This window comes from Homo sapiens, chromosome X (genome assembly GCF_000001405.40).
Source record: "Homo sapiens chromosome X, GRCh38.p14 Primary Assembly".
NCBI classification, from domain to species: Eukaryota; Metazoa; Chordata; class Mammalia; order Primates; family Hominidae; genus Homo; species Homo sapiens.
Window position 1 is genome coordinate 37,462,309 of NC_000023.11, and position 24,506 is coordinate 37,486,814.

The 24,506-nt window shown below is 41.3% G+C and overlaps 2 annotated features.

The window, feature by feature from the left end:
* Positions 6,516 to 7,106: an enhancer, noted in NCBI's record as "H3K27ac-H3K4me1 hESC enhancer chrX:37328077-37328667 (GRCh37/hg19 assembly coordinates)". NCBI's record gives its function as "activates a minimal SCP1, AML or CMV promoter by ChIP-STARR-seq in primed H9 embryonic stem cells {active_cell/tissue: H9 hESC(primed)}" and the evidence as "EXISTENCE:reporter gene assay evidence [ECO:0000049][PMID:30033119]".
* Positions 14,110 to 14,947: an enhancer, noted in NCBI's record as "OCT4-NANOG-H3K4me1 hESC enhancer chrX:37335671-37336508 (GRCh37/hg19 assembly coordinates)". NCBI's record gives its function as "activates a minimal SCP1, AML or CMV promoter by ChIP-STARR-seq in primed H9 embryonic stem cells {active_cell/tissue: H9 hESC(primed)}" and the evidence as "EXISTENCE:reporter gene assay evidence [ECO:0000049][PMID:30033119]".

A 24,506-nucleotide genomic window follows, 5' to 3' on the forward strand; every position in this document is an offset into this window, starting at 1 on the left:
ACAAATGTATTTGTTACAAACTAAGGAGGAAATACTCATGACAATTGGAATCCTCATTCCTATAACTGGTCACATGGTTATGCATGATATTTATAACTACCTTCTTCCACTACCCATTCTGTTTTCCCTATGCCTTCAACAAGCACCTCTGCTGGTTGCCATACGTTACCTGATAAGGTAAACCAAATCTTCATTCCTGAAGTGTCTGGGCCATTAGGAGTCCTGCTTGAATTGGGCTGTTGTAGTTTTTCATCTCCTGCATTCCAGACATACTCTTCCTTACTTCCATTGTGGGGTAGTACTCCGGTTTGCCCTTGGTAGTCAGGATCAATCACCTCAGCCAGCACAGAAACTCCCTTCTTTGCCTGTAGATTAGAGAAATGAGGAGCACAAAGTGGCCAGGAAGCACTCTTAACTTCCATTCAATGGTATCATTGTTGTGTCTCTAGATGGAAGCATTTTTCCCTCTGGAACTAAGACCTCTAGGCTAGCAGGGGTTAAGGTGGTGGAAACAGGAAACAAAAATGTTGCTAGCAGGTTGCTGTTGGTGATAGTGAGTGGTGCCACTCCCATTTCCTTGACTTGATTCTTGGAGACATGAATCTTGGCTATGGGAGAAACAGCAGCATATATTGGATGCTGAGTAGAGGCCTTCTGGAAAACCTATCCTCAGCTCTTCAAGGTATTGCCACCTAGCTGGCACTGTAAGGAAGTCTTCAAAAGGCCATTCTACCATTGTATCAGCTGTTTCAGGATGGTAGAGAACATGGTAACATGAGTGAATTTCATGAGCACGGGCCCATTGCCACACTTCTTTTGTTACAAAGTGAAGTTCTAAATCAGAAGCAATGCCGTGTGGAAACCATGGCAGTGTGTAAAGCATTCTGTAAGTCCATGGATGGAAGCAAATCTGTATCTAATGTAAGTGCTATTCCAGTAAGAACAAAAGGCTGTTCCTTCCTTGGTAGAAGTGGTCCAATGTAATCAACCTGGCACCAAGGAGCTAGCTGATCACCTTGGGAAATGGCTTCAAACCAGGGGCTCAGTGTTTGCTGCTGGGAGATTGGGCTCTCAGTCATGGCTATAGCCAGGTAAGCCTTGGTGAGTGGAACTCTACATTGCTGAGCCAATGTATAACCTGCATCTCTGCCACTATGGCCACTTTGTTCATGAGCCCACTGGGCAATGACAGGGGCAGCTGGGGAAAGAGGCTGAGTGGTATCCATAGAAAAGGTCATCCTATCCACTTGATTATTTTGAGTCCTACTCTGCTGAGGTCACCCTTTGGTGAACATTCACATGGGACACAAATATCTTCACATTTCTTGCACATTGAGAGAGGCTTATTCATATAACCTCTTTTCCAAATTTTCTTCTCACTAATTTTCCAATCATGTTCCTTTCAATCTCTCATCATTCAACCAGTCCATTGGCCACAGGGAATAAATCAGTATATAATCACATCTGGACATTTCTCTTTCTAAGCAAAGTGAACAAATAGGTTTGTTGCTTGGAGTTCTGCAGACTAAGGATTTCTTTTCATGAGTGTCTTTCAGGAATATCCCAGAAAAGGGCTATAGTCCTGTAGCTGTTCAGTTTGGGGTGGTGCCTGGATATTGTGCAGAATCATCTATAAACTTAGCCTAGTCTTCTTTTCCTCTGTCAACTAAGTGTGAGGAATTCACCATGAGGCCATGGGTGCAGGCTGAGAGTGAGAAGGCAGTGTAGCAGGAGTGAGGAACATGGGCATTTGGTCCACTTCTTCATGTAACTTACTTATGCCTTCAGAGTCCATTCAGCTCGATCACATATATACCACTTCCAACTGATGATGCAGACAGTCCTGCTGTGCACACCCAACTTTATGGTTTGGTGGGTCAGATAACACCCAGTTTGTGATAGGCAGTTTAGGTCGCATGGTCACTTGGTGACCCATAGTCAAATATTCAGTTTCCAATAAGGCCCAGTAGCAGGCCAAGGGCTATTTTTCAAAAGGAAAGTAGATACCTACTCTCCTTTTAAAATAGTGGGTAAAAGAGCAGAGGGTGGCACGTGTGCTCCAAAATCCCAAGGGTCTTCTCTGTGTTTCACTCATAGAGGCCTGCCAAAGGATCCAAACAGCATTTTTATCTGACACTGATACCAAGCACCATTGGATCTGCTGGATCATATGGCCCAAGAGCAGAGTAGTTTGCAGATCAGCCTGAACCTATGGCAGAGCCTTCTCCTTTTCTGGGCCCCACTCAAAACTAGCAGCTTTTTAGGTCACTCAGTACTTGAGTTGAAGTAACACACCCAAATGAGGAATATCATTTGGGTATTCCTCCAAATCCAAAGAGGCCTACAAGGCATTATGCCTCTTTTGTTGTTGTTGTTGGGGCCAGATGCAACAACTTATCCCTTACCTTAGAAGGAATATCTTCATGTCCCATACCACTGGACCCCTAGAAATTTCACTGAGGTAAAAGGACACTGAATTTTAGTTGGATTTATTTCCCATCCACTGGCACGCGAAATTCTTACCAATAACCCTAGAGTAGTTGCTACTTGGTGCTCACTAGGTCCTCAATATAATGGACAAGTGTGATATCTTGTGGAAGGAAAAGGCAATCAAGAGCCCTGAGAATGAAATTATAACATAGGGTTAGAGAGTTGATATACCTCTGATTTAGGACAGTGAAGGTATATTGCTGGCCTTTCCAGCTGAAAGCAAACTGCTTCTGGTGGGCATATGGGCAGTGAAGAAAGAAAAGCAATTTTATCTGAGGAATGTGAGCCATTTTAAATTATCAGGTCCAGAGAGGCATTAAATTGAGACAGCAGTCATACCCTCCTTCCCCCATTGAGCTATGTATTCATCTCTTGAAATATAACCAAGCCCTTATTATAAAGATCATAAGATGTTTGTTTTATTTATTGTCTTTTTTCTTTGTCCTCTTCCTTATCCATGCATGCTTGCTTGTATCTAGTCATTTCTATAGAGGGTGGACATTAGTTATTGATAAACTTGAAATCCTGACCCCTGGAGCTACCCTCAGAATCGATGAACTTGTTTTTCTTTTAAAGAACAGTGATCCATAGGTCATGCAGACCTCCTTGATGACATCCACAAGTTTGATTGGAACTGATGAGATCTAGATTCCAGGGAGTGCAAAGAGATTTGATCATTGGGGGATCCCACCTCCTACATTCTTACCTTACTCATAAAAGTCCCCAGTTATTTCAAAGGCAGGTCAGATTTGAGACTGTCTCACCTGCCCTCTCACTTTGGCCAAATTGAATAAACCTTTCTCTGCTCCTAAGCACTGATATGTCTGTGTTTGGCTTAATGTGCATCAGGCACGTGAGCCTAAATTTCAGGAATCGATAACAGATTTTGATGACTGCAGCAGGACACATGTGCTCATGGCCAGTAGGTCCCAGTCAGGTTGGGCAAATGGGCATCCACACAGCTGCCTGGGTGTGTTGCTTGGGGTAAGCCCTGGGGTCACCCTTCTCAGTAGGTGTCAGCTGCCCTTGGCACCCTAGGAGCTTGGAGCAGAGAAACACCTTGGACTGCTTCCTCAATTTTCAGTTTTGATTTGAAGGGCAAGTTGTTACACATGCGCAACCAAATCTCTCATTCTCTCCATTTGTATTTTGAAGAGAGCCCATTTGGGAGAGTAAGTAGAATGGTAGCCTATACTGATTTGCTTGTTTGTGTACCTGCAGTAGTTTGGTTTTGTGTGTGTGTGGAAGGATTGAATGTGGGAAATTCAGGATCAATCTCAGAGTGCAGCCTTCTTTGGCTGTGTTTTCCAGAATTGGGCCACTTTCAGCTAGGAGTCCATGAGGAAAAAGAAAATGTTTTCATTATTATTATTACACTGCTTGGCCTCAATATGCCTTAGATTCTGGGGTAAAGTGGCTTGTGAATGGGTCTTTAAATTATGTTACTATAATGCAACTAGAACTGTTTTGTAAGAGGGAGAGAAAATGGGATGAGATCCCATATGTTCGGATTTTTATGCTTTTGTGTCAGAATAAACCTGCTCAAAAAAGGTGTAGTATAACTTGATGCCGCAAAAGGAAGAATAGCCCAAACCTAAGGTTTTAGACTTTCCACCATTAGATGTAGAGGACAAGGTGCTGATCAGCACCTTGAATCCCCCAAATAATCATCCTGGTCCTCTGCCCCTTCCTCTGCCACCTGTGGCTCCAGCACATCCCCCTCCTTATGGAACATGTGGAGCAGGAGGAGGACACCCCCAATCCCTCATGGGGGAAAAATCAGGATAGGTTATGAATTCTTCTTCTTGTACCTGACAGGTAACAAAATTTGGCCAGTGAGCCACAGGCCCCTAGGTAGGGCAGTTTCCTCTCTGCTAATCCCCTGTTAGGATAATGTGAATGAGCATTTGGCTGATATGATGTGGGTGCACTCCACTTTTCCCACTTCAGATCTGTTCAATTGGAAAAGCAATAATCCCTCCAATCAAGATGACCCCAAGTAAATAGCTGAGCAATTCTCATCCATACTTCTGACCTATTATCCCACATGGGCAGATATCCAGGCTTTGTTAAATGTACTGCTCACAGCAAATAAAAGGAACATTGTCATAGAAAAAAACTAAAGAGGAAGCAACCTGGCTCCATCTTGAGGATGGAAATAATCTCCCTGAGCCAATGCAGTCAGTCCGCACCACGGAACCCAGTTAGGATGTAAATAATGGAGGTCTTCCCCACTTAGAGCACTATTAAAGTTGTATCCTTGAAGGTTTAAAGAAAGGGGTCCCTCCAAGAGCCTTAATAAAGTACAGGAGGTACAGCAGCAACCAAATGAGGCCTTCACAATTCTTGGAAAGACTATCAGACATATCAAAAGTTTGCAGGTGGAACTGGAAAATCAGAGAATGGTTAATATGAGCTTCATCTGTCAGAGTGTCCCTGATAGTCAAAGAAAATTGCCAAAGATAGATGAAGCCATTGTGTTGCCAAACACATTTAGTCTAGTTAGCTTTTAGGGTGTACTATGCTTGGGTTAAGGATCAGGAAAAGCACAAGTTAAAGCAACAAGTATCCATGTTGGTGATGGTGCTTGACTTTCAACCTAAAAGAAATGAAAAAAATCAAAGCAAAAGGAGGATCCACCCCACCTTAGGGAAGAACCAGTCCACTTATTGTAAGGAAGAAGGACATCGGAAAAAGGGCCATCCCAAACTGACCAAAGTGGCTGTCAAGCCCAACTCTCCCTCAGAATCAGATGATGGGAAGGGGAAAAGACTGAGATGAAAGTTGATACAGCCCAAGGTGTCCCTGAGACTTTGAATGACCAGTACCTGTATCCCCACAGGAACCCAAGATACAATTGACATTGGGGAACAGAATGATTGATTTCTTAAATGATAAGTTGCCACATGATCAGTAATTAACATTTGTCTCTTCCCAATTATGGGAGAAACCAAGATTGTTATGGGGATATTGGAAGGTGCCATTATTTGCCCCTTTCTACAACCCTTAGATTGCCATTTAGGAGAGACCAGCCTGAAACAGTTTCCTGTATGTGCCTGGATTCCCAGTGCCCCTCCTGGGCCAGGATTTGCTTGCCAAATTGTGTGCTCAATTTGTCTTTTCCTCCAGACACCTAGACATAGGGATTCCTCCTGAACAAGCTTGCAGGTTTCAAAAGCTCCAACTCCAACCAGAAAATACAGAAGTTTAGGACATTCCAGAGAAAATTCTCATGAGGTTAGAGGCCCTCTTAGCGCAGTGGGCAGCGCGTCAGTCTCATAATCTGAAAATTCTCATGAGGCTAAGGGAAGATATTTGGGCTTCAGGGAAGCTGGGGAGAATGGTCACAGCCAAGCTTGTAAAAAATAAATGAGGGACACAGAATACCTAATCTAAAACAACACCCATTAAAGGAGGCAGTATGAAAGGGCATTCAGCTGCTCTTGGAAGCCTTTTTGGGACAAGGACTAATTCAGCCCTGTCACTTCCCCTACAACACTCCTGTCTTGCTGGTTCACAAGCCCTGTTCAGCTGACTACTGGCTTGTGCAAGACTTCAGGGTTATTCATGAAGTAGTCCAGGACATACACCCTATGGTACCTAATCCCTATACTTTGCTGACAAGCTTATCAGGAGATAAGACAAGGTAAATCATTACATGGTTTATAATTTTGGATCTGAAAGATGCCTTCTTTTGCATACTGCTAGATACGGAGTCACAAGAGGTCTTTGCATTTGAATGGGCAAGACCAGGAATGCAGGTGAATTAGCAGTACTGTTGGAGAGTGTTATCTCAGGGATTTTTAAAATTTACCCGCAACCTTTGGGAGAATTTTGGCATGGGACTTAAGGGATTTCTGACCGAAAGAAGAATGCTTTTACAAGATGATACCTTTGTTTCTAGTAAGACTCTTAGAGATTCCCTTGAAAATACCATCCAAATACTGAGTTTTCTAACAAAAAGAGGCTATCAGATTTCCAAAAGAAAAAGCCCAAATCTCCCAAGCCCTGATCTCCAAATACTTGGAGTTTGAACCAACTAAGGGACAAAGAAATCTTCTCCCAGACTGCTGAGAGGCAATAGCCTGGGCAGCCGTCCCTACCGCCTGCAAACAACTGTGAGGTTTTGTAAGTATAGTAGGATTTTGTTGAATTTAGATTCCAAATTTTGAACTTACAGTAAAACCTCTTTATGAGGTCCTAAAGGGAAAGGAATCTGAACCCTTGGTCAGGACCTCAGAATGCCAACATTCTTTTAATAAAGCCAAAGAAAAGTTAATGACTGCTCCTGCACTGGGTCTTCCAAATGTCAGAAAATTTGTTGATGTATTTGTGCATGAAAAACAAGGCATGAGCTTGGGAGTCCTAACTCAAAGTTTGGGACCTTACTGGAGATCAATTGTTTATTTCACTAAATAGCTTGATCAGGTGGTGAAGGGTTGGCTTCCCTGCCTCCAAGCAGTAGTTGCAACTTGTTACCTCCTCTAGGAGGCTGAAAAGTTAACTCTCAGACAGCCATCACCATTCACACACTGCATCACATCCTCCCTCTCTTACAGCAAAAAGGAGGGGTATTAGCTGACTCCAGAGAGGTTAGGGAAATCCAGGCTATGTTCTTTTACAAACCAGAGTTAAAAATAAAGGCGGTCTCAGTTCTTAACACTGCTACCTTAAAGCCTACAGAAACGGAGCCAGGGCTACACCTAATTTTCTTCAGAATATTCAGCAGATCTTTTCCAGCTGACCAAACGTGGTGTATTAGCCCTTGGCACATCCTGACCTGAAACTGTTCACAGATGAAAGCAGCTTCAAGGACCATGGAAGTCATCATGCAGGGTATGTGTGGTCGGTACCTTACAAGGCACTGTGAAAGCCAAAGCCTTATTGCCAGACACCTCAGTACCTCAGCTCAACAGCGTGAGCTCATTGCCTTACTCTTGTCATCCAATTGGATAAGAACAAAATTGGGAATATTTATATAGACTCTAAATATGCTTTCTCTGTGGCACATGCCCATGGGGCTATTTAGAATGAGAGAGGGCCTTTGACTAGTGATAACAAGGAAATCAAATATGTCTCTGATATTTTGGCCTTATAAGAATCTGTAAATGCCCCCAGAGTGGTGGCTATCATCCACTATCCTAGCCATCAAAAAGGGGAAATCAACATGCCAACCTGGCAGCGAAACAGGCTGCAAAAACATTGGACTTTGAGGCCTTCTTAGCCCTGTTTGTATCGCAGGTTGATCTTACTAAGTAAGTCTCAACCTTGCTATACTGAAGAAGACTTAAAGTGGCCCAAGGATTGGGGATTTACGTCCCCAGCCCCAGGCCATCCAGGCTAGATATGTAATTTGGGAGGCATTATATTGGTTCCTGGAGCCCTCCTTAAAGATACAGTGAGTTGGCTGGCGCAGTGGCTCATGCCTGTAATCCCAGCACTTTGGGAGGCCGACACAGGTGGATCACTTAAGGCCAGGAGTTCGAGACCAGCCTGGCCAACATGGTGAAACGCTGTCTCTTCAAAAAATACAAAAACACTAGCCAGGCATGGGATCACTTGAACCTGGAAGGCAGAGGTTGCAGTGAGCCGAGATTGCACCACCGCACTCCATCCTGGGTGACAGGACAGGACTCTGCCAAAAAAAAAAAAAAAAAAAAAGTAGTGAGCAAGTTTCATCAAAGCACCCATTACAGAAAAGATGCAACCCTTTAATGGCTACGTTAGTACTTGATTAGTCCCAATATGCAATGGGTAATCCAAAATATGATCCATCAGTGCACTCTCTGTGCTCAAAACCATCCTAAAATTGGACCCGTACCCCCTGTTCAGGGGACTCTTGAGGAGATTCTCCATATGAGGATTGGCAAGTTGATTTCACAACAATGCTGTGAGTGCCCAAAGGCTATAGATATCCTTTTTTTTTTTTTTTGTATACACATTTACGGGATGGATGGAGGCGTACCCTACCCGAAATGGCCCACAGCTTACTTAAAGAGATAATCCCCTGGTATGGACTCCCTTTGATATTCAGAGTGACAACAACACAACATTTGTCTCTCAGGTAGTACAGGAAATGTCTCAGATCCTAGACACTGAATAGAAACTTTACACAGCATGGTGTCCACAATCCACAGGAAAGACTGAAAAAAATGAATCATACTATAAAAAGAACAATTGCTAAGATGTGCCAAGAAACCAGTCTAACTTGGGTCAAGGTACTGCCCTCTGCCCTGCTGAGAATTCAGGTTGCTCCCTAAAGTAGGCTCCAATTGAGTGCTTTTGAAATTAAATTGCCAAATTAAAAAGTAACCTCTGTTCAAGAGTTTGCTTCTGACAGGTTGGCCTTCCCCATGGACATGCCACTTCACCCTTTCCAGGCCAGAGACCAAGTCCTACTCAAGACCTGGAGGGAAACTGGACTGGATCATCAACTGGTCCCTCAATGGGTAGGACCCTATGAAGTCCTCCTGACCACTCATTTATCTATCAAATTGGCTGTGGTTAAACTTTGGGTACATTATACCCACAGGTAAAGATTGCCCCTCCTCAGCTCAATGTGTGAGGTAATCAACCTAAATGGACCTGTGAACCAACTGAAAACTTGAAGCTGCTCTTTAAGGAAAACTTTGCAAATAAGTAAGGCCTTCTATCATTTAATTATGATATTCTTGCTAATCCCCATAATAATATATGGGCTTATGGTGTCTCCTGAAACGAATCTTTTCCTACAATGGGCACAGCATTATACAGATAGCCTACAACAGGAAGCTTGTGGGGTTTGTGGGCTGCTACCTATATCTAGCATTTCTGGATTACCTTGGTGGGTCTCACCTCTACAAGGAAATGACTGAGTACATTTACAAACCTTAATGAAAAACAATTTACAAGAAAATCAGGTCCCTGGTGTTCTAACACAAGAAAATAAAAGGTTATGGCCTGTCATTAATGTAACCCTCCAAAACCCAGGTCACAGAAAACCTTTTACTATGAATCAGACTATTCGACAAACTTCTGAATATGCTGCTCCTCTCCTGAATGAGTTCTTGGCAACCCCCAAAGTTTTGACTATTAACAGTCACTATACTGAGGAAGGTTTCTATTTAGTTTGGGATGATTTCCTTTGGATGACACCCACCACCAGCTACTTAAATCAAGTTGACACCTTAGGAACAAAAAAAATAACTCTTATGATCATTGCCCAAATATTAATATGGGCTGGATGCCCCCACAACAATGTCAACATACTCTAGTGCTGCAACAAACTGACTGGTTTTCTACTGATTGGACACAGAGGCTAGGAATTCGATGACTAGCCCCAAATGGAACTAAATGGCTATGTGACACTGATCTTTGGCCCTGACTACCTTATTGAATGGATAGAATGGTGCACCCTGGGTTTCCCTTGGGTCCAGTTTCATTTGGAAAACACAGATGGACAGCCTGCAGATCTCCAATATGTGTTGTACCAATGGACCAGGTTGGTTTCCACTGTTATGACCATCTCCTATCCATTTCTGTTCCCTAAGTTAGTTTAGAAAATGTTATCTGGCATACCAGGACCCTCTCAAACTATATGCAGCATATGCTAAAGAATGCATTCAGAGGCATCTCTTTAGTGACCTCTGAAATGACCATGATGAGAAAGGCAATCTTGCAGAACTGCATGACCCTCAATGTCCTCACAGCTACACAAAGGGAAACCTATGCCATAATCAAAAACAAATGTCTTGTATACATCCCAGACAATACAGGAAACTTTAAAGATATTCACAAATTAATACCATGTCTGACCCCATGATGTTGCTAAACCAATGGTTATCTTCTTGGTGCAACTCTATACTCTCTTGATGGAAAAAATTAATAATTCTAGCTTTGATTATAGGAATAGGCATACTCCTTTGTTGTGGATTATATTGCTGCTGCACTATATGTATAAGATTTCAAAATCACCTCTCTCAGAGGATCCTAACACCTTGTTCAATGATACTGCAAAGAATTGCTTCTGTAAGTCCCAGAACACATGAATGTTTTCACCTGCAGGTAAATAAGGGCCATTCCCTGGACCCCTAGCAATGGCCCTTACCAGCAGGAAATAGTTACAATGAATCAACATACCAACTCCTCAAGATTGAGAAATGGAACAATGACATTGAGGATGTTGTAACCGAGCCCTTATTTTAAGTATCAGGTTGTTTTACTTAGTCTCCTTTGTCTTTGTCCTTTTCCTCATCCGTGCATGCTTGCTGGTACGTAATCATTTCTGTAGAGAGTAATCACTAGTAATTGATTAACTTCATATCCTGAACCCCGGACCTGCTCTCAAGATTGATGAACCTGTTTCTATTTCAAAGAACAATGATCCTTAAGTCATGCAGATCTTGATGGCATCCAAAAGTTTGATCGGGACTGATGACATCTAGAGTCCGAGGGGCACAAACAACTTTGATGATCCCACCTCCCGCATTCCTACCTTATTCATGAAATCCTCCAATTATGTTCAAAGGCAGATCAGATTTGAGAGACTGTCTGTCCTGATCTCTTGCTTTGGCTAAATCGAATAAACCTTCCTCTGCTCCTAAGCACTGATGGGTCAGGGTTTGGCTTACTGTGCATTGAATACGTGAACCAAAATTTTGGGATTTGATGACAGAAACTGCTTGCTATTGCCACAAGTAGCTACAAATTAACAATACTGCACAAGACAAGATAACCCAAGCCTTATAGATTAACAATATATAGCCAATCACTAACCAATATTATTTCTATAAACCAAAGAGAATTCCTGACAAACAACTTTGTATCAGCCCACTCTCTGTCCCCCTTTTTTGCCTTTAAAAATCTGCTTGTACACAGGCAACCAAAGCAAAAATGTACAAATGGGATCACATCAAGTTAAAAAGCTTTTGCACAGCAAAGGAAACAATCAACAAAGTGAAAAGACAACCTACAAAATGGGAGAAAACATTTGCAAACTACCCATCTGACAAGGGATTAATAACCAGAACATACAAGGAACTCAACCCACATTATAGGAAAAAAATCTAATAAATCAAAAAATCACAAATGATTTGAATAGTCATTTCTCAAAAGAAGACATACAAATGGCAAACAGGGATATGAAAAAATGCTCAGCATCACTGATCATCAGAGAAATGCATATCAAAACAACAAGATATCATCTCACCCCAATTAAAATGGCCTATATCCAAAGACAGGCAATAACAAATGCTGGTGAGGATGTGGAGAAAAGGGAACTCTCCTACACTGTTGGTGAGAATGTAAATTATCACAACCACTATGGAGAACAGTTTGGCAGTTTCTCAAAAAACTAAAAATAGAGCTACCATGTAATCCAGCAATTCTAGTGCTGGGTATATACTCAAAAGGAAAAAAACAAAAACAAAAACCAGGATATCAAAGAGATATCTGCACTCCCATGTTTGTTGCAGCACTGTTCACAATAGCTAAGATTTGGAAGCAACATAAGTGTCCATCAACAGATGAATGGATAAAGTAAATGTGATCTATATGACACAGGAGGGAAAAAGAAACTATTTAGGCAGATAATGAGGGCAAAGAGTCCTCAGCAGAACTTCCCTTCTAACAAAAAGCAGCCCAAGAAATCACTTCTTTTCTAACAAAGAGCAGCCTGGAAGATCGGGCTGCAAACAAGGATAAGGAGGCTGGAAGCTTGCACTGAGGGGTATGCCAGCAGCTGCACGGATAGAAGGGGCTACCTGGGACCAGGCATGTTCACCATGGGAGTTTCACTGCCCCTTTTTTAGCACATGCACAGTAAGAAACAAGCAACATGGAGTAGCTCAGGCTGAGGACTCACCTGCATAATAAAAGGTTGGGGTGAGGGCTGCCAGAGATTCCCACCATATGCAGATGGCACACATGGTCCTAACCGGTTTTTCGTGCCCTATGTAGATCAGATACCGCCTCCCCACTAGCTCATCTATAAAAACCCCTGCATTTCACTGTGGGACGGCAACCCTTTTTCCAGGACCCTTCTCTGTACCAAACAACTGTTCTCTTTCTCCTATTACATTTCTGCTCTAAACCTCATATTTGGTATGTCCACGTCCTTGATTTCCTTGGCCATGAGATCAAGAACTCTGGGTGTCACCCTAGACAATGAAGATCATTATGTTAAGTGAAATAAGCCAGGCACAGAAGCACAAACATCGCATATTCTCACTTACTTGTGGGATCCAAAAATCAAAACAATTGAATTCATGGACGTAGAGAGTAGAAGGATGGTTACCAGAGTCTGGGAAGGGTACTGGGGTCTGGAGGGGAGGTGGGGATGGTTAATGTGTACAAAAATAGTTAGAAAGAATGAATAAGACACTATTTGATTTCACAACAATGCGACTATAGTCAATAATAATTGTATATTATAAAATAACTAAAAGAGTATAATTGGATTGCTTGTAACTCAAAAGATAAATGCTTCAGAGGATGGATACCCTATTCTCCATGATGTGATTATTACACATTGCATGCATGCATCAAAACATCTCATGTACTACACAAATATATACACATACTATGTACTCACAAAAATTAAAAAAATAAATAAAAATTTGCTTATAACAAAGGCCAGACAGAGCTCATATCCAAGTGTACCTGTGTCTCAATCTTCCTCACAGCTGTCTTCATTTTGGCTCAAGTGAACGCTTTAAATTATTTATTGTGCCTCAGCCTCTTATTTTAGGTCAACATCAAGGATGGAGATAAAAGACATCTGCCAGATGCATACCAGGCCAGATGCATACCTGGGACCAGATGATGTTTTAATTTGCTGATGCAATGAACCAACAGCTGGTAAAGCAGCTGCAATTGGATTTTAAAACCATCACCTGCTTAATCTTTTGATAATCTTGTCATTCTCCAAGATTCCTCTGTGTTCTATACAGGTCAAATAGAAAAGTTGAATGGGGATGTGGTGGGAATTACCACCACCTTTGCCTCTTTCAAGTCCTTGATGGTGGCACTAATCTCTGCAGTCCCTTCAGGAATGCAGTATTGCTTTGGATTTACTATTTTCCTTGGTAGAGGATTTCTAGGGGCTTCTACCTGACCTTTCCAACCCTAACAGTTCTCACTTCACAGGTCAGAGAGCCAATGTTGGGATTACGCAGACTGCCAAGTATGTCAATTCCAATTATGCATTCTGGAAATGGGAAAACAACCACAGGATGGTTTTGGAGACCCACTAGCCCCATTGTGGGATGGACCTGAGCTAAAACTCCATTGATCACCTGGGCTCCATAAGCTGCCACTTTGACTGGTCAGCCACAGTGATGTTTTGGGTCTCCTGAAACTAGTGCCAGTTCAGAGCCAGTGTATAGTAGTCCCTGAAAGATCTGATTATTTCCTTTTCCCCAGTGCACAGTTAGCCTGGTAAAAGGTCATAGATTCACTTGAGGAAGGCTGGGAGAAAAACTAAAAGTATAAATTTTTGGTAGTGAACTGGGGTCCTTCCTCAAGGAAACCTAACCTCTTCATTCAAGGGATTCTGGGTCTGTAAACTGGCTTCAGTCTGGAAATTGATTGAGGAATCTGAGTCTCTGCTTTTATGATTCATGTTAAGCTTTTGTTCATTTAAGCTAGAACTTTTCTATTTATACAGATCAAATAAGAATTTAGTAGGCTTCCTACCTATTTCACTTCAAGGAGCACCATGATCAATTAGCCAACACTACAGTTCTGTGCAAATCAGACTATTGTGATTGTGGCTTTGACTCTGTTGTCCATTATGGTTAACAATGTGCACCTTGCCTTTGGTAATGGAGTACTGCCACTTGGCCCCTGCCACCCTGTGATCCAATTATTCCTATTGCATTTAAGTTTCCAACTCAGTGATTGCAGTTCCCTCTGTAATGTATGGCCTAAAGAGAAGAGAAATCATGGAGCTCTTGAAGTATGCTGGGGTTCTCCTCATAAAAATTTTTCACAGAATTGGTATAAAGGAAACAAAAAAAAAATTTCACCCCCAGAATATACTGTGACATATTATTTCAAGACGGTTATTCAGAAGGCCTGCAGACAGGAATACTTCTGAAAAGCTGCCTTTTGTGGAGGAGATTTGCATCTGTAGAGAAAAATCTACATTAATTAAATAAACAGCCAGGCTTTCTCTGAGGCCCTTCCCCTTGTATAGATAGGGAAGATTAATTCAACCACAGGTTGCCATCTGTTGTTTCTGAGGGGTGCTACCTGTGAGGATTCATTTGCGTAACAAAACTGACTTTACCTCTTGCCCTTCTTATTGTCTCCCTTCCATAACCCGTCTTGCCAAGTTCCAAGTCCCTATTCTTTCTGTAACCTCAGGATAATATAAAACCTTCAACCAACTGATCTCTGTTTTGAGCTTCATACTTTGTATGTGACTCCCATGCCCATATGCATATGAATAAACTTGTATGCCCTTTTTACCTGTTGTTAATCTATTATCAGTTAGTTTTATAGACTCATTTTTGTCAAACCTACAGGGGAAAAATTTACTCTTCCCCACAGGTGAAAAGTATGTCTTCTGGACCTTCCCAGTGTGGGTGAATGACAAATCCACTATAATACTCCAGTTTCCCTAAGACTTTAAATCTGGTCCTTTACATTAAACAAAGGCAAGACAGGCATTTCAACTTTGCTCTGGGCCATATTTTGATTCATATTTCAGTTAACCAACTAGCCAAACTATTAGAGTCCTTTCTAATTCCATGAGCTGCAACATTAAATGCAGAATCTCTGCTTTGTGAGCCCATATCAATAAATTTAACCTGATCAAACTTTGTGGTCCTTCCACTATTATCCTACACCCTTAGTATCTATTCCTACAGCTGCTCGCCAGATTCTGTCTCTATCAGTTAGAAAACGGAAGTAGTTATTTGAATTGTATCACACCTCCTCACGGGTAACTCACCTTTGGGGTGTGTATCTAGTTATAGGTCTAGAAACAAAGATAAACGATGAAGGTGGAGCCTAAGGTGAATCAGCATTGTCTACATGACAACTGCCTTGAGGGAGGCCATTATAGTTTCCTCAGGCAATGCAGGGTTAATCTCAGATTGAGATAGGAGGTCCAATACTACTGAAGGTGGACAAGCTAATGCTACTGTCAGTGAGGATGTCATTGACACTGGGGGTGGGTATGCCACTTCTGCTGAGGTTGGGAAGACTGCTTTCACTGGGTGTGGGGAGATGTCTTCCACTGGCAAATATGACTCATCAGAATCTAGTGGCTTGAGCCCAGGAGGTGGAGTTTGCAGTGAGCCAAGATCGCGCCACTGCACTCCAGCCTGGCGACAGAGTGAGACTCCGTCTCAAAAAAAAAAAAAAAGAATCACTCCTTTATATAGGATTTGTTTTCTTTGGTCAGCAATATGAAACTCTTAAGAATCAGTATTCCTAGGATATATTTATGGCTGGATCAGTTTCACAAGACACCTTCATATTTACAAAGGGAAGCTACAAGTTCTTTTTGTCTTTCCTTAACACATCAAGCATAAAAGCAACTTGAAAAAGTACTTTATGTTAGGTATGAGTTCTAAATTTCTTTTCAAAGAATCAATATGTCAGTATGTTCAATTCTTTACCTTCTAGTTTTAACTTAACTTCCTTATAAAGCAACCTTTTTCAATTACCTGCTCCACCCTGACTAATTTCAATCACCTGTTCCACCCTGACTCATTCCGATTCCTACTCCTGCTCTGTCATAACCATTTTTCCCCCCAAACCACTCACCCGTCACTCTCTTTAAATTAGCCAATTGGAATTAGTTTAGCCTGTGCGGTCTAATCCTAGCCAATAGGGGAATGACACAGCAGCAGGGGCCACGTGCGTCAGGGATAAGAACCCTTCCCCTCCTTTGTCCAAGTGTGTGCTCACCATTGCTCCATCTGTAAGGGTGCACCCTTCTATAGAAGTAACTTCCCTTGCTGAGAATTAAAAGAAAATTTTATATTCGAGTGCTATTTCTTTTGTGGCACCAAACTTTATATATAACAATTTGGGGGCTCCCCTGTGATTACGTTCCCCTCCGGGGACAGTCTCTGGTTCTCTCTCGTGAGGAGGCGCGGCCTGCCGCCTTGTGGTGGCCTCAGGGGTGAGAAATCAAGACCCACCCAGTGCGAGGAATAACCCAAGCTCTCAGCAACGCGGGGGGAAAAAAAACTGGCCAGCAACCTAGCTTAAAGGATCCTCACATACTGCGGCAATGACTCTGTGCACAGACCAAGGAAGGAGAAGCCACGGGAGCGGGTAAAGTATTCCGTTGGTGGTCGGAACCAAGGTAAGAAAGTGAGGGGGGAGCGGAGGAGGTGAAGTACTCCTTGGCTGGGGTGGCTTAGAGTTTAAAAAGAGGCGAGACATCCCCACTGGTGGGGATTGAACCTCACACGAACCTCCAGGAGTAGAAAAGGCAAGAAATTTCCAGTGGGGGAAATGAGCCTCACCCCAAAAAGTGAGAAATTATCAGTAAGGGAAATTGAACCTTGAACCTTACCCCAAAACCATCAAGATAGACTGAGGGAGCGAATGAGGCAATATGAAAGCCTCAATTTGGATGATCCCCTTGGGCAAGGAAGGTTGAAACTCCAATTTGTCACTAAAAGTTGGCCAGACATTTCAAAAAAGTTACAAAAGATAGACAATTGGGAAGACCGTCCCCTAAGTGAGCTTCTCAGGGAAGCTCAGAAAGTATACGTGAGTATACATGAAAAGGGACGAAGAAAAACAGAAACAAAAGACAAAACTTATGTTTTCCACCTTTCAACAGATGGCTCCAAACCCAGGTACTTCTAGACAGTTTCCAGGGAGCTAGAAACTATAAAGGGTCCGAACCCTCTTTTAAAGGATCCCAGCCTCCATCTGGAGGACCAAGGTCCTCGTCTACCAGGCCCCCTAAAGAGTATGGGGGAGCAGGGTTAAAGAATCCCAGAACTAAGGAGGAAGGACAAGATAGGTGCTGTAGATGTGGAAGAACAGGCCACTTCAAGAGAGGATGTCCTGAACTAAGAAAGGAGAAAGAAGCCCTTCCACCCATAACTTTCGAGGAAGAATAGGGGGGTCAGGGGCTCTGTCTCTTGAGTCCCACCAGGAGCCCTTGATAAATTTGGAGGTGGGACCTAAACATGAGCTTATCACCTTTTTAGTCGATTCAGAGGCTGCTCGCTCCTCTGTTTGTTTCCCCCCGTCTAATGTTGTCTCCTCCTCAGAGGAACTTTTATTCTCCGGGGTAAAAGGGGAAGGAGAGGGGAGAACAGCAGCATAAGTGGCTGGCAGAGGCAGGGAAAGACCAGCAGAGAGGAGAGAGACAGAGGAGGGAAAGAGAGAGAGAGGAAAAAGAGAGAGAGAGAGGAAAAACAGAGAGAGGAAGAGACAAAGAGGGAGTTAGAGAGAGAGAGAGAGAGAGAGATAGAAGTAGTAAAGAGAAAACAATGTACCATATTCCTTTAAAGCCCAGGGTAAATTTAAAACCTATAATTGATAATTGAAGGTCTTCTCTGTGACACTCTAACACTCCAATACCACCTTGTTGTAAGTGTAAACAAGGGCATAGCCCGAAAGCACTGAGGCCACTGACAACCCGTAGCCTTCCTATCAAAAATCCTTAACCCAGTAACCCATGGATGGCCCAAGTGAATTCAATCTGTAGCGGCAACTGCTTTGGTAGCAGAAGAAAGTAGAAAAATAACTTTTAGAAGAAACCTCATTGTGAGCACACCTCGCCAGTTCAGAACTAGCCTAAGGGGAAAAAAAAAAAAAAGCAAAAAGGTAGCTTACTAACTCAAAAATCTTAAAGTATGGGGCTATTCTGTTAGAAAAAGATGATTTAAAATTAACCACCGATAATTCCCTTAACTCAGCAGGTTTCCTAACAGGGGATCTAAATCTTAATTAATTACCATACAAAGGTCCGACCAGACCTATGAGGAACTCCCTTCAGGACAGGAGATAGATGGTTCCTCCCGAGTAATTGAGGGAAAAAGACACAATAGGTATTCAGTAATTAATAGGGAAACTCTTGTAAAAGCAGAGTTAGGAAAATTGCCTAATAATTGGTCTGCTCAAACATGGGAGCTGTTTGCACTCAGCCAAGCCTTAAAGTACTTACAGAACCAGGAAGGAACCATCTATACCAATTGTAAGTTAATTTGGACTAAACAAGGTCTTATTAATAGCAAAGGATAATTGAAATCCCAAACTTATAAGGTTTTCAACAAAAAGTAAAGTTTGCTAAAAGTTAACAGTGTAACATGTATTATCCTAACTTCTAATCTTGTGGTCTTAGGCAGTCTAGTCCACAGACATGAAGGAAGTTCGCTGTGGAAAAGAATGGTTATCATCTTTGGAAAAAAAAAGGAAGAGAATTTATGTAAAAAGAGTGTTATATGGTAAATTCTTGTCCTAAAATAAATCTACTGGTTGTTTAAAGAAACAGATGTTTGCAACAAGTGAGAAAGTTGAGACATGTCAAAGAATTATCTGTGAAAGTCGTGAAAAAAAAAGTTATAAAAGGGAATTTATGCAAGAAATGTTGTATAATTTAAAAGTAATTAGGCCTCCTGAATGTAAAACTATTGAAGAAAGTTTATGTGCAAGATGTATAAGGAAAGTAAAATATACCTTTGGTAAAAGGATTATAAGGAGGCATAAGAATGTGGATTTTTACCTACATTAAAAGGTTAAATATATATATATAGTTTTAAAGGTTTAAGCAAGTTTTGAAACATTAATTGTAAAGGAAATTCTGTGTGTAAACATACTGGCTAAAGTTAAAGAGGTATCATCCAGTTTTTCTGTGAACTGGACATTAAAATAAAAGCACAACAGGTTTTTCTTAAAGCACTAACCTGCTCTTTAACAAAAATTATAAAAGGTTGAAAAGAGTCTATAAAAATCTTACCTTATGGTCACATGTTAAAATTGGATAAATATGTCTACAAGGTTTTATTAAAATTGAGTTTAACATTAATAACACACTAAAGGTGAAATTTAGCTTATCTGGTATAAAGATCATACAGGAAGCATTGTCAAATATAAAATGGTGTTTGGCTTTCTTTGGTATAAAAACTAATAAAAATTGGTGCTAAAGGAAATTTCTCAGTAAGAAAGCACCAAGGACTATAAAGTCCACTGTTGATGTCCCCACATTTAAAACAAAAGATCAATTTCTTAGAAATTATATACTTGGATTATCTTCCACTTTCCTTTCCCTCAAAACTAAAAGTCTTTTAGCACAGGTACCACCCCTAGAATTTCCAGTAAACCAGCACCAGCCTGAGGATCACGTTCTCATCAAAGGGTGGAAAGAAGGAAAACTCCAGCCAGCCTGGGAAGGACCCTGCCTTGTGCTGCTAACTACCGAGACTGCTGTTCGTACAGTGGAAAGGGGATGGACTCATCACACCCGAGTCAACAAAGTGCCGCCCCCTCCTGAGTTGTGGGCCATGGTCCCAGGGAAAAACCCTACCAAACTAAAGCTAAGAAAAATTTAACTCTCTTTCATCTATTCTATTACTCTTTCTTCTTTCCTCGCTCTATTGCTGACCATCTAGTTATTAACATAACCAAGTCAATTTCACCTCAAACTATTGCATTTAATGCTTGCCTTGTTATACCCTGTGGGGACTTGCTAAGTCAAAGCTCTCTACTTCAGAAAAGTACCTCTGTCCCTCCTGACTCTCCTCAGACTGGGCATTAGTGAATTGGCACCATTTAATCCGGGGGAGATTTTGATAAAGACCCCAGTGTCAACCAGGAGTCTTGCTCCCTGTTGTAGAGCTTTTATGCCGTAGTTAGTCCAACATTCTGTAGACCACTAAAGACCAAGAGTGGACTGCTCCAAACGGTTTTTGTAATTTCCTAAAACCATACATTCATTTTACTAGAAGGACGGCCCTCCCCCCTAACTGTCAGCTAAACCAATGTAATTCTATATGGGTTATTATCTCAAACTCTCAAAGTTCTCTCCCTTTTCTAAGCCAGTTCCCTTCTTTAAGCCTGGAATTGGCTTTTATGGTATAGGGGCTGAGGTTTCAGGGACAAACCCTATTAGATTCTTTAAAATGCATTTCTTTGATCCCCCAACGCCTGCACCTTCCTCTAAGCCTTCTTCCAAAACCTCTCACAACGGAATAATTGCTCCTCCTCCATCTAACGACAAGACCAAGATAGCTATCGTAAAAGTTAAAGACTTAAAACAAACTTTGGCAATTAAGACAGGATACCAGTTGGAATGGATCAAATATTCCATCCACACGTTAAACAAAAGCAATTGTTATGCTTGTGCACACAGCAGGCCAGAGGCCCAGATTGTCCCCTTTCCACTAAGGTGGTCCTCCAGTCGACCAGGCATGGGCTGCATGGTAGCTCTTTTCCAGGATTCTACAGCCTGGAATAGTAAGTCATGCCAAGCTCTCTCTGCTATATCCCGAAGTCTGGCACCCTGTGGGTCAGCCCCCGAGGGCCATCCAGCTTCAGTCTCCCAACACTAAGTTCACTTCGTGTCTCTCACGACAGGGAGGAGACTTAGCATTCCTTGTAGACCTGAAGGGATGCAGTGAGCTTAAGAATTTTCAAGAGCTTATCAATCAGTCAGCCCTTGTTCATCCCCGAGCGGATGTGTGGTGGTATTGTGGTGAACCTTTACTGGACACTGCTGAATAACTGGAGTGGCACTTGTGCTTTAGCCCAGTTGGCTATCCCTTTCACCCTGGCATTTCATCAACCAGAGGAAGGAAAAATAACACATCGTAAAGCGAGAGAAGCCCCTTATGGGCCTTTAGACTCTCACGTCTATTTAGACACAATTGGAGTCCCATAGGGAATACCAGATCAATTTAAAACCCGAAATCAAATAGCTGCAGGATTTAAGTCAATATTTTGGTAGGTGACAATTAATAAAAATGTAGATTGGATAAACTACATCTACTACAACCAACAGCGATTTATTAACTACATTAGAGATGCTGTTAAAGGAATAGCTGAACAATTAGGGGCAACTAGCCAGATGGCTGGGGAAAACAGGACAGCCTTAGACATGATATTAGCAGAAAGAGGAGGAGTTTGCGTCATGATGAAAACTCAATGTTGTACCTTCATCCCAAACACCACCACCACTGATGGAAGTATAACAAAGGCATTGCAAAGTCTGACTACTCTGTCCAATGAGTTAGCCAACAACTCAGGGGTAAATGACCCCTTTACAGGATGGCAAGAAAAGTAGTTCGGTAAATGGAAAGGAATAATAGCCTCAATTCTTACTTCCCTCGCAGCCGTAATGGGTGTACTTATTCTTGTCAGGTGCTGTGTCATACCATGCATCCGTAGGTTGATGCAGAGGCTCATAAAAACGGCACATACTAAAACCTCCCTTAACTATCCTCCACCTTATCCAGAGAAGCTTCTTTTGGAAAATCAAGCAAAACAGCTAAGCCAAGACATGTTAAAAAAAGGTTTGAAAAGAAAGCTGTAAGGAAATACAAGGGGAGGGATTGTTAGATATGAGTTCTAAATTTATTTTCAAAGAATCAATATGTCAGTATGTTCAATTCTTTACCTTCTACTTTTAAACTTAACTTCCTCATAAAGCAACCTTTTTCAATTACCTGCTCCACCCTGATTCATTTCAATCACCTGCTCCACCCTGACTCATTCTGATTACCTGCTCCACCCTGACTCATTCCGATTACCTACTCCACCCTGACTCATTCCGATGACCTGCTCTGTCATAACCATTTTTCCTGCCAAACCACTCACCCTGTCACTGTCTTTAAATTAGCCAATCAGAATTAGTTTAGCCTGTGCGGTCTAACCCTAGCCAATAGGGGAATGACACAGCAGCAGGGGCCGTATGCATCAGGGATAAGAACCCCTTCCCCTCCCTTGTCCAAGTGTGCACTCACCATTGCTCCATGTGTAAGCATGCACCCTTCTATAGAAGTAACTTGCCTTGCTGAGAATTAAAAGAAAATGTTATATTCGAGTGCTATTTCTTTTGCGGCACCAAAACTTTATATATAACATTTAGTAGCTCTATGTTGGCTTATATGTAACTCTGCAGTTGTATTTTTCCCATCAAAATAGGGGAAAACATAATTCTTGATCCTTTGCTGACTGCAGTGCTTTGCTTTTTAGAGCAGTGTCTCACATAACTGCTAATTGACATAAAACATTATCTCAGCAACAATCACTCACACAGAATAAAATACACACATTTTTTCTAACAACAAAATTTTCATCTTTGAAAGTGATTGTTTTGACTTTATAATCACAAATCCATAATTTGAAAACAAAATTAATGGGAGTGTGGTAATTTTTAATATAAAAAGGAGTTCTCATTTGGAGAAATATATCAAGAAATATTTATGAATGAAATGATACAATGTCCTTGATTTTCTTCAAAATAGTATATCAGGTAGAAGGTGAGAAAGTTTGCCATGAGGTAATAATTTTTAAAGCTGTGAGATGAGAACATGGGAATTTATGTTTTGAAATTTTCCCTAATTAAGAAACAATTCATGCCCCCAAAATGTAATCAAGGTAGAATACAGAAGATCATTTTACACAAACATAGTTTAAACACATAAGTATTGAAAAAATAACATAGCTTTAGTTGTTTTACATTTATTGTTGAATTTAGTATGAGGTTTTAAATTCAATAAATCTTTTTTGTGCTAGTAATCAAAAGAAATTGAGAATCAATTTTAGTTTATTCTTCCTCATACTAATAGCTTACATAAGAAGTCAGTTTTTTGCCACCCTGAAGGAAAGGACCTTGAGCAAGGCACAGTGCTGTGCTGGCTTGAGGTCTGACCCGGCACACTGCCAGTAGTGGTGGCTACATGGGTGCTTACATCACCACACCCCCAGTTCAAGGTGGCTCAGCACAGAGAGGGAGACCCCATATATTTAGGAGAAAGTAAGGGAAAAGACCAAGTGTCTCTGTCGGTAATCCAGAGAATTCTTCTGGATCTTATCCAAAACCACCAAGGCAGCACCTCTACTACTCTACAAAAACCACAGCGTTATTGGGCTTGGGACACAAGTCCCAATCCTATTGCTGGGTATATACCCAAAGAAAGGAAATAAGTATGTCGAACAGATATTGTACTCCCATGTTTGCTGCAGCATTGTTCACAATAGCTAAGATTTGGAAGCAACCTACATATCCATTAACAGATAAATGAATAAAGAAAATGTGGTACATTTACACAATGTGGTACTATTCTGCCATAAAAAAAGAATAAGATTCTGTCATTTGCAACAACATAGATGGAACTGGAGCTCATTATGTTAAGCAAAGTAAGTCGAGCACATAAAGACAAACTTTTCATATTCTTATTATTTTGTGGCATCTAGAAATCAAAACAGTTGAACTCATGGACATAGAGAATAGAAAGATGGTTACCATAGGCTGGAAATGGTAGTGGAGGCCAGGGGTGGGAGGTAGGAATGGTTAATGAGTACATAAAAATAGAAAGAATGATTAAAGCCTAGTATTTGATAGCACAACAGGGTGACTATAGTCAATAATAATTTAAATTTACATTTAAAAATAACTGAGAGTATAATTGGATTGTTTCTAACACAAATAATAAATGCTTGAGGAAATAGATACCCAATTTTCCATGATGTTTTTATGCATTGCATGTCTGTACCAAAATATCCTATGTACCCCATATACACCTACTATATACCCATGAAAATTAAAAATAAGAAGTAAAATGAGCTTCTCTCACTTATACTATATTTTAAGTAGATTACAGAAGCTTCCCTGGTAACTTTTTCCAGTATTTAAATAACACCATTGTTGGATGACATAAGCTTAAGAAAATATTCATCACTCCTGGTGAGACAATACATAAATACAAAAATACATAAATATTTTATTGCACAGAAAAAGGGCAAACATAGAGATTTGAAGAAAATCTAGGAGAATGTGTACACTTGATTTATGTGAAGAAAACTTGGTTATTCTATTCTTAGAAATGTTAACTGGC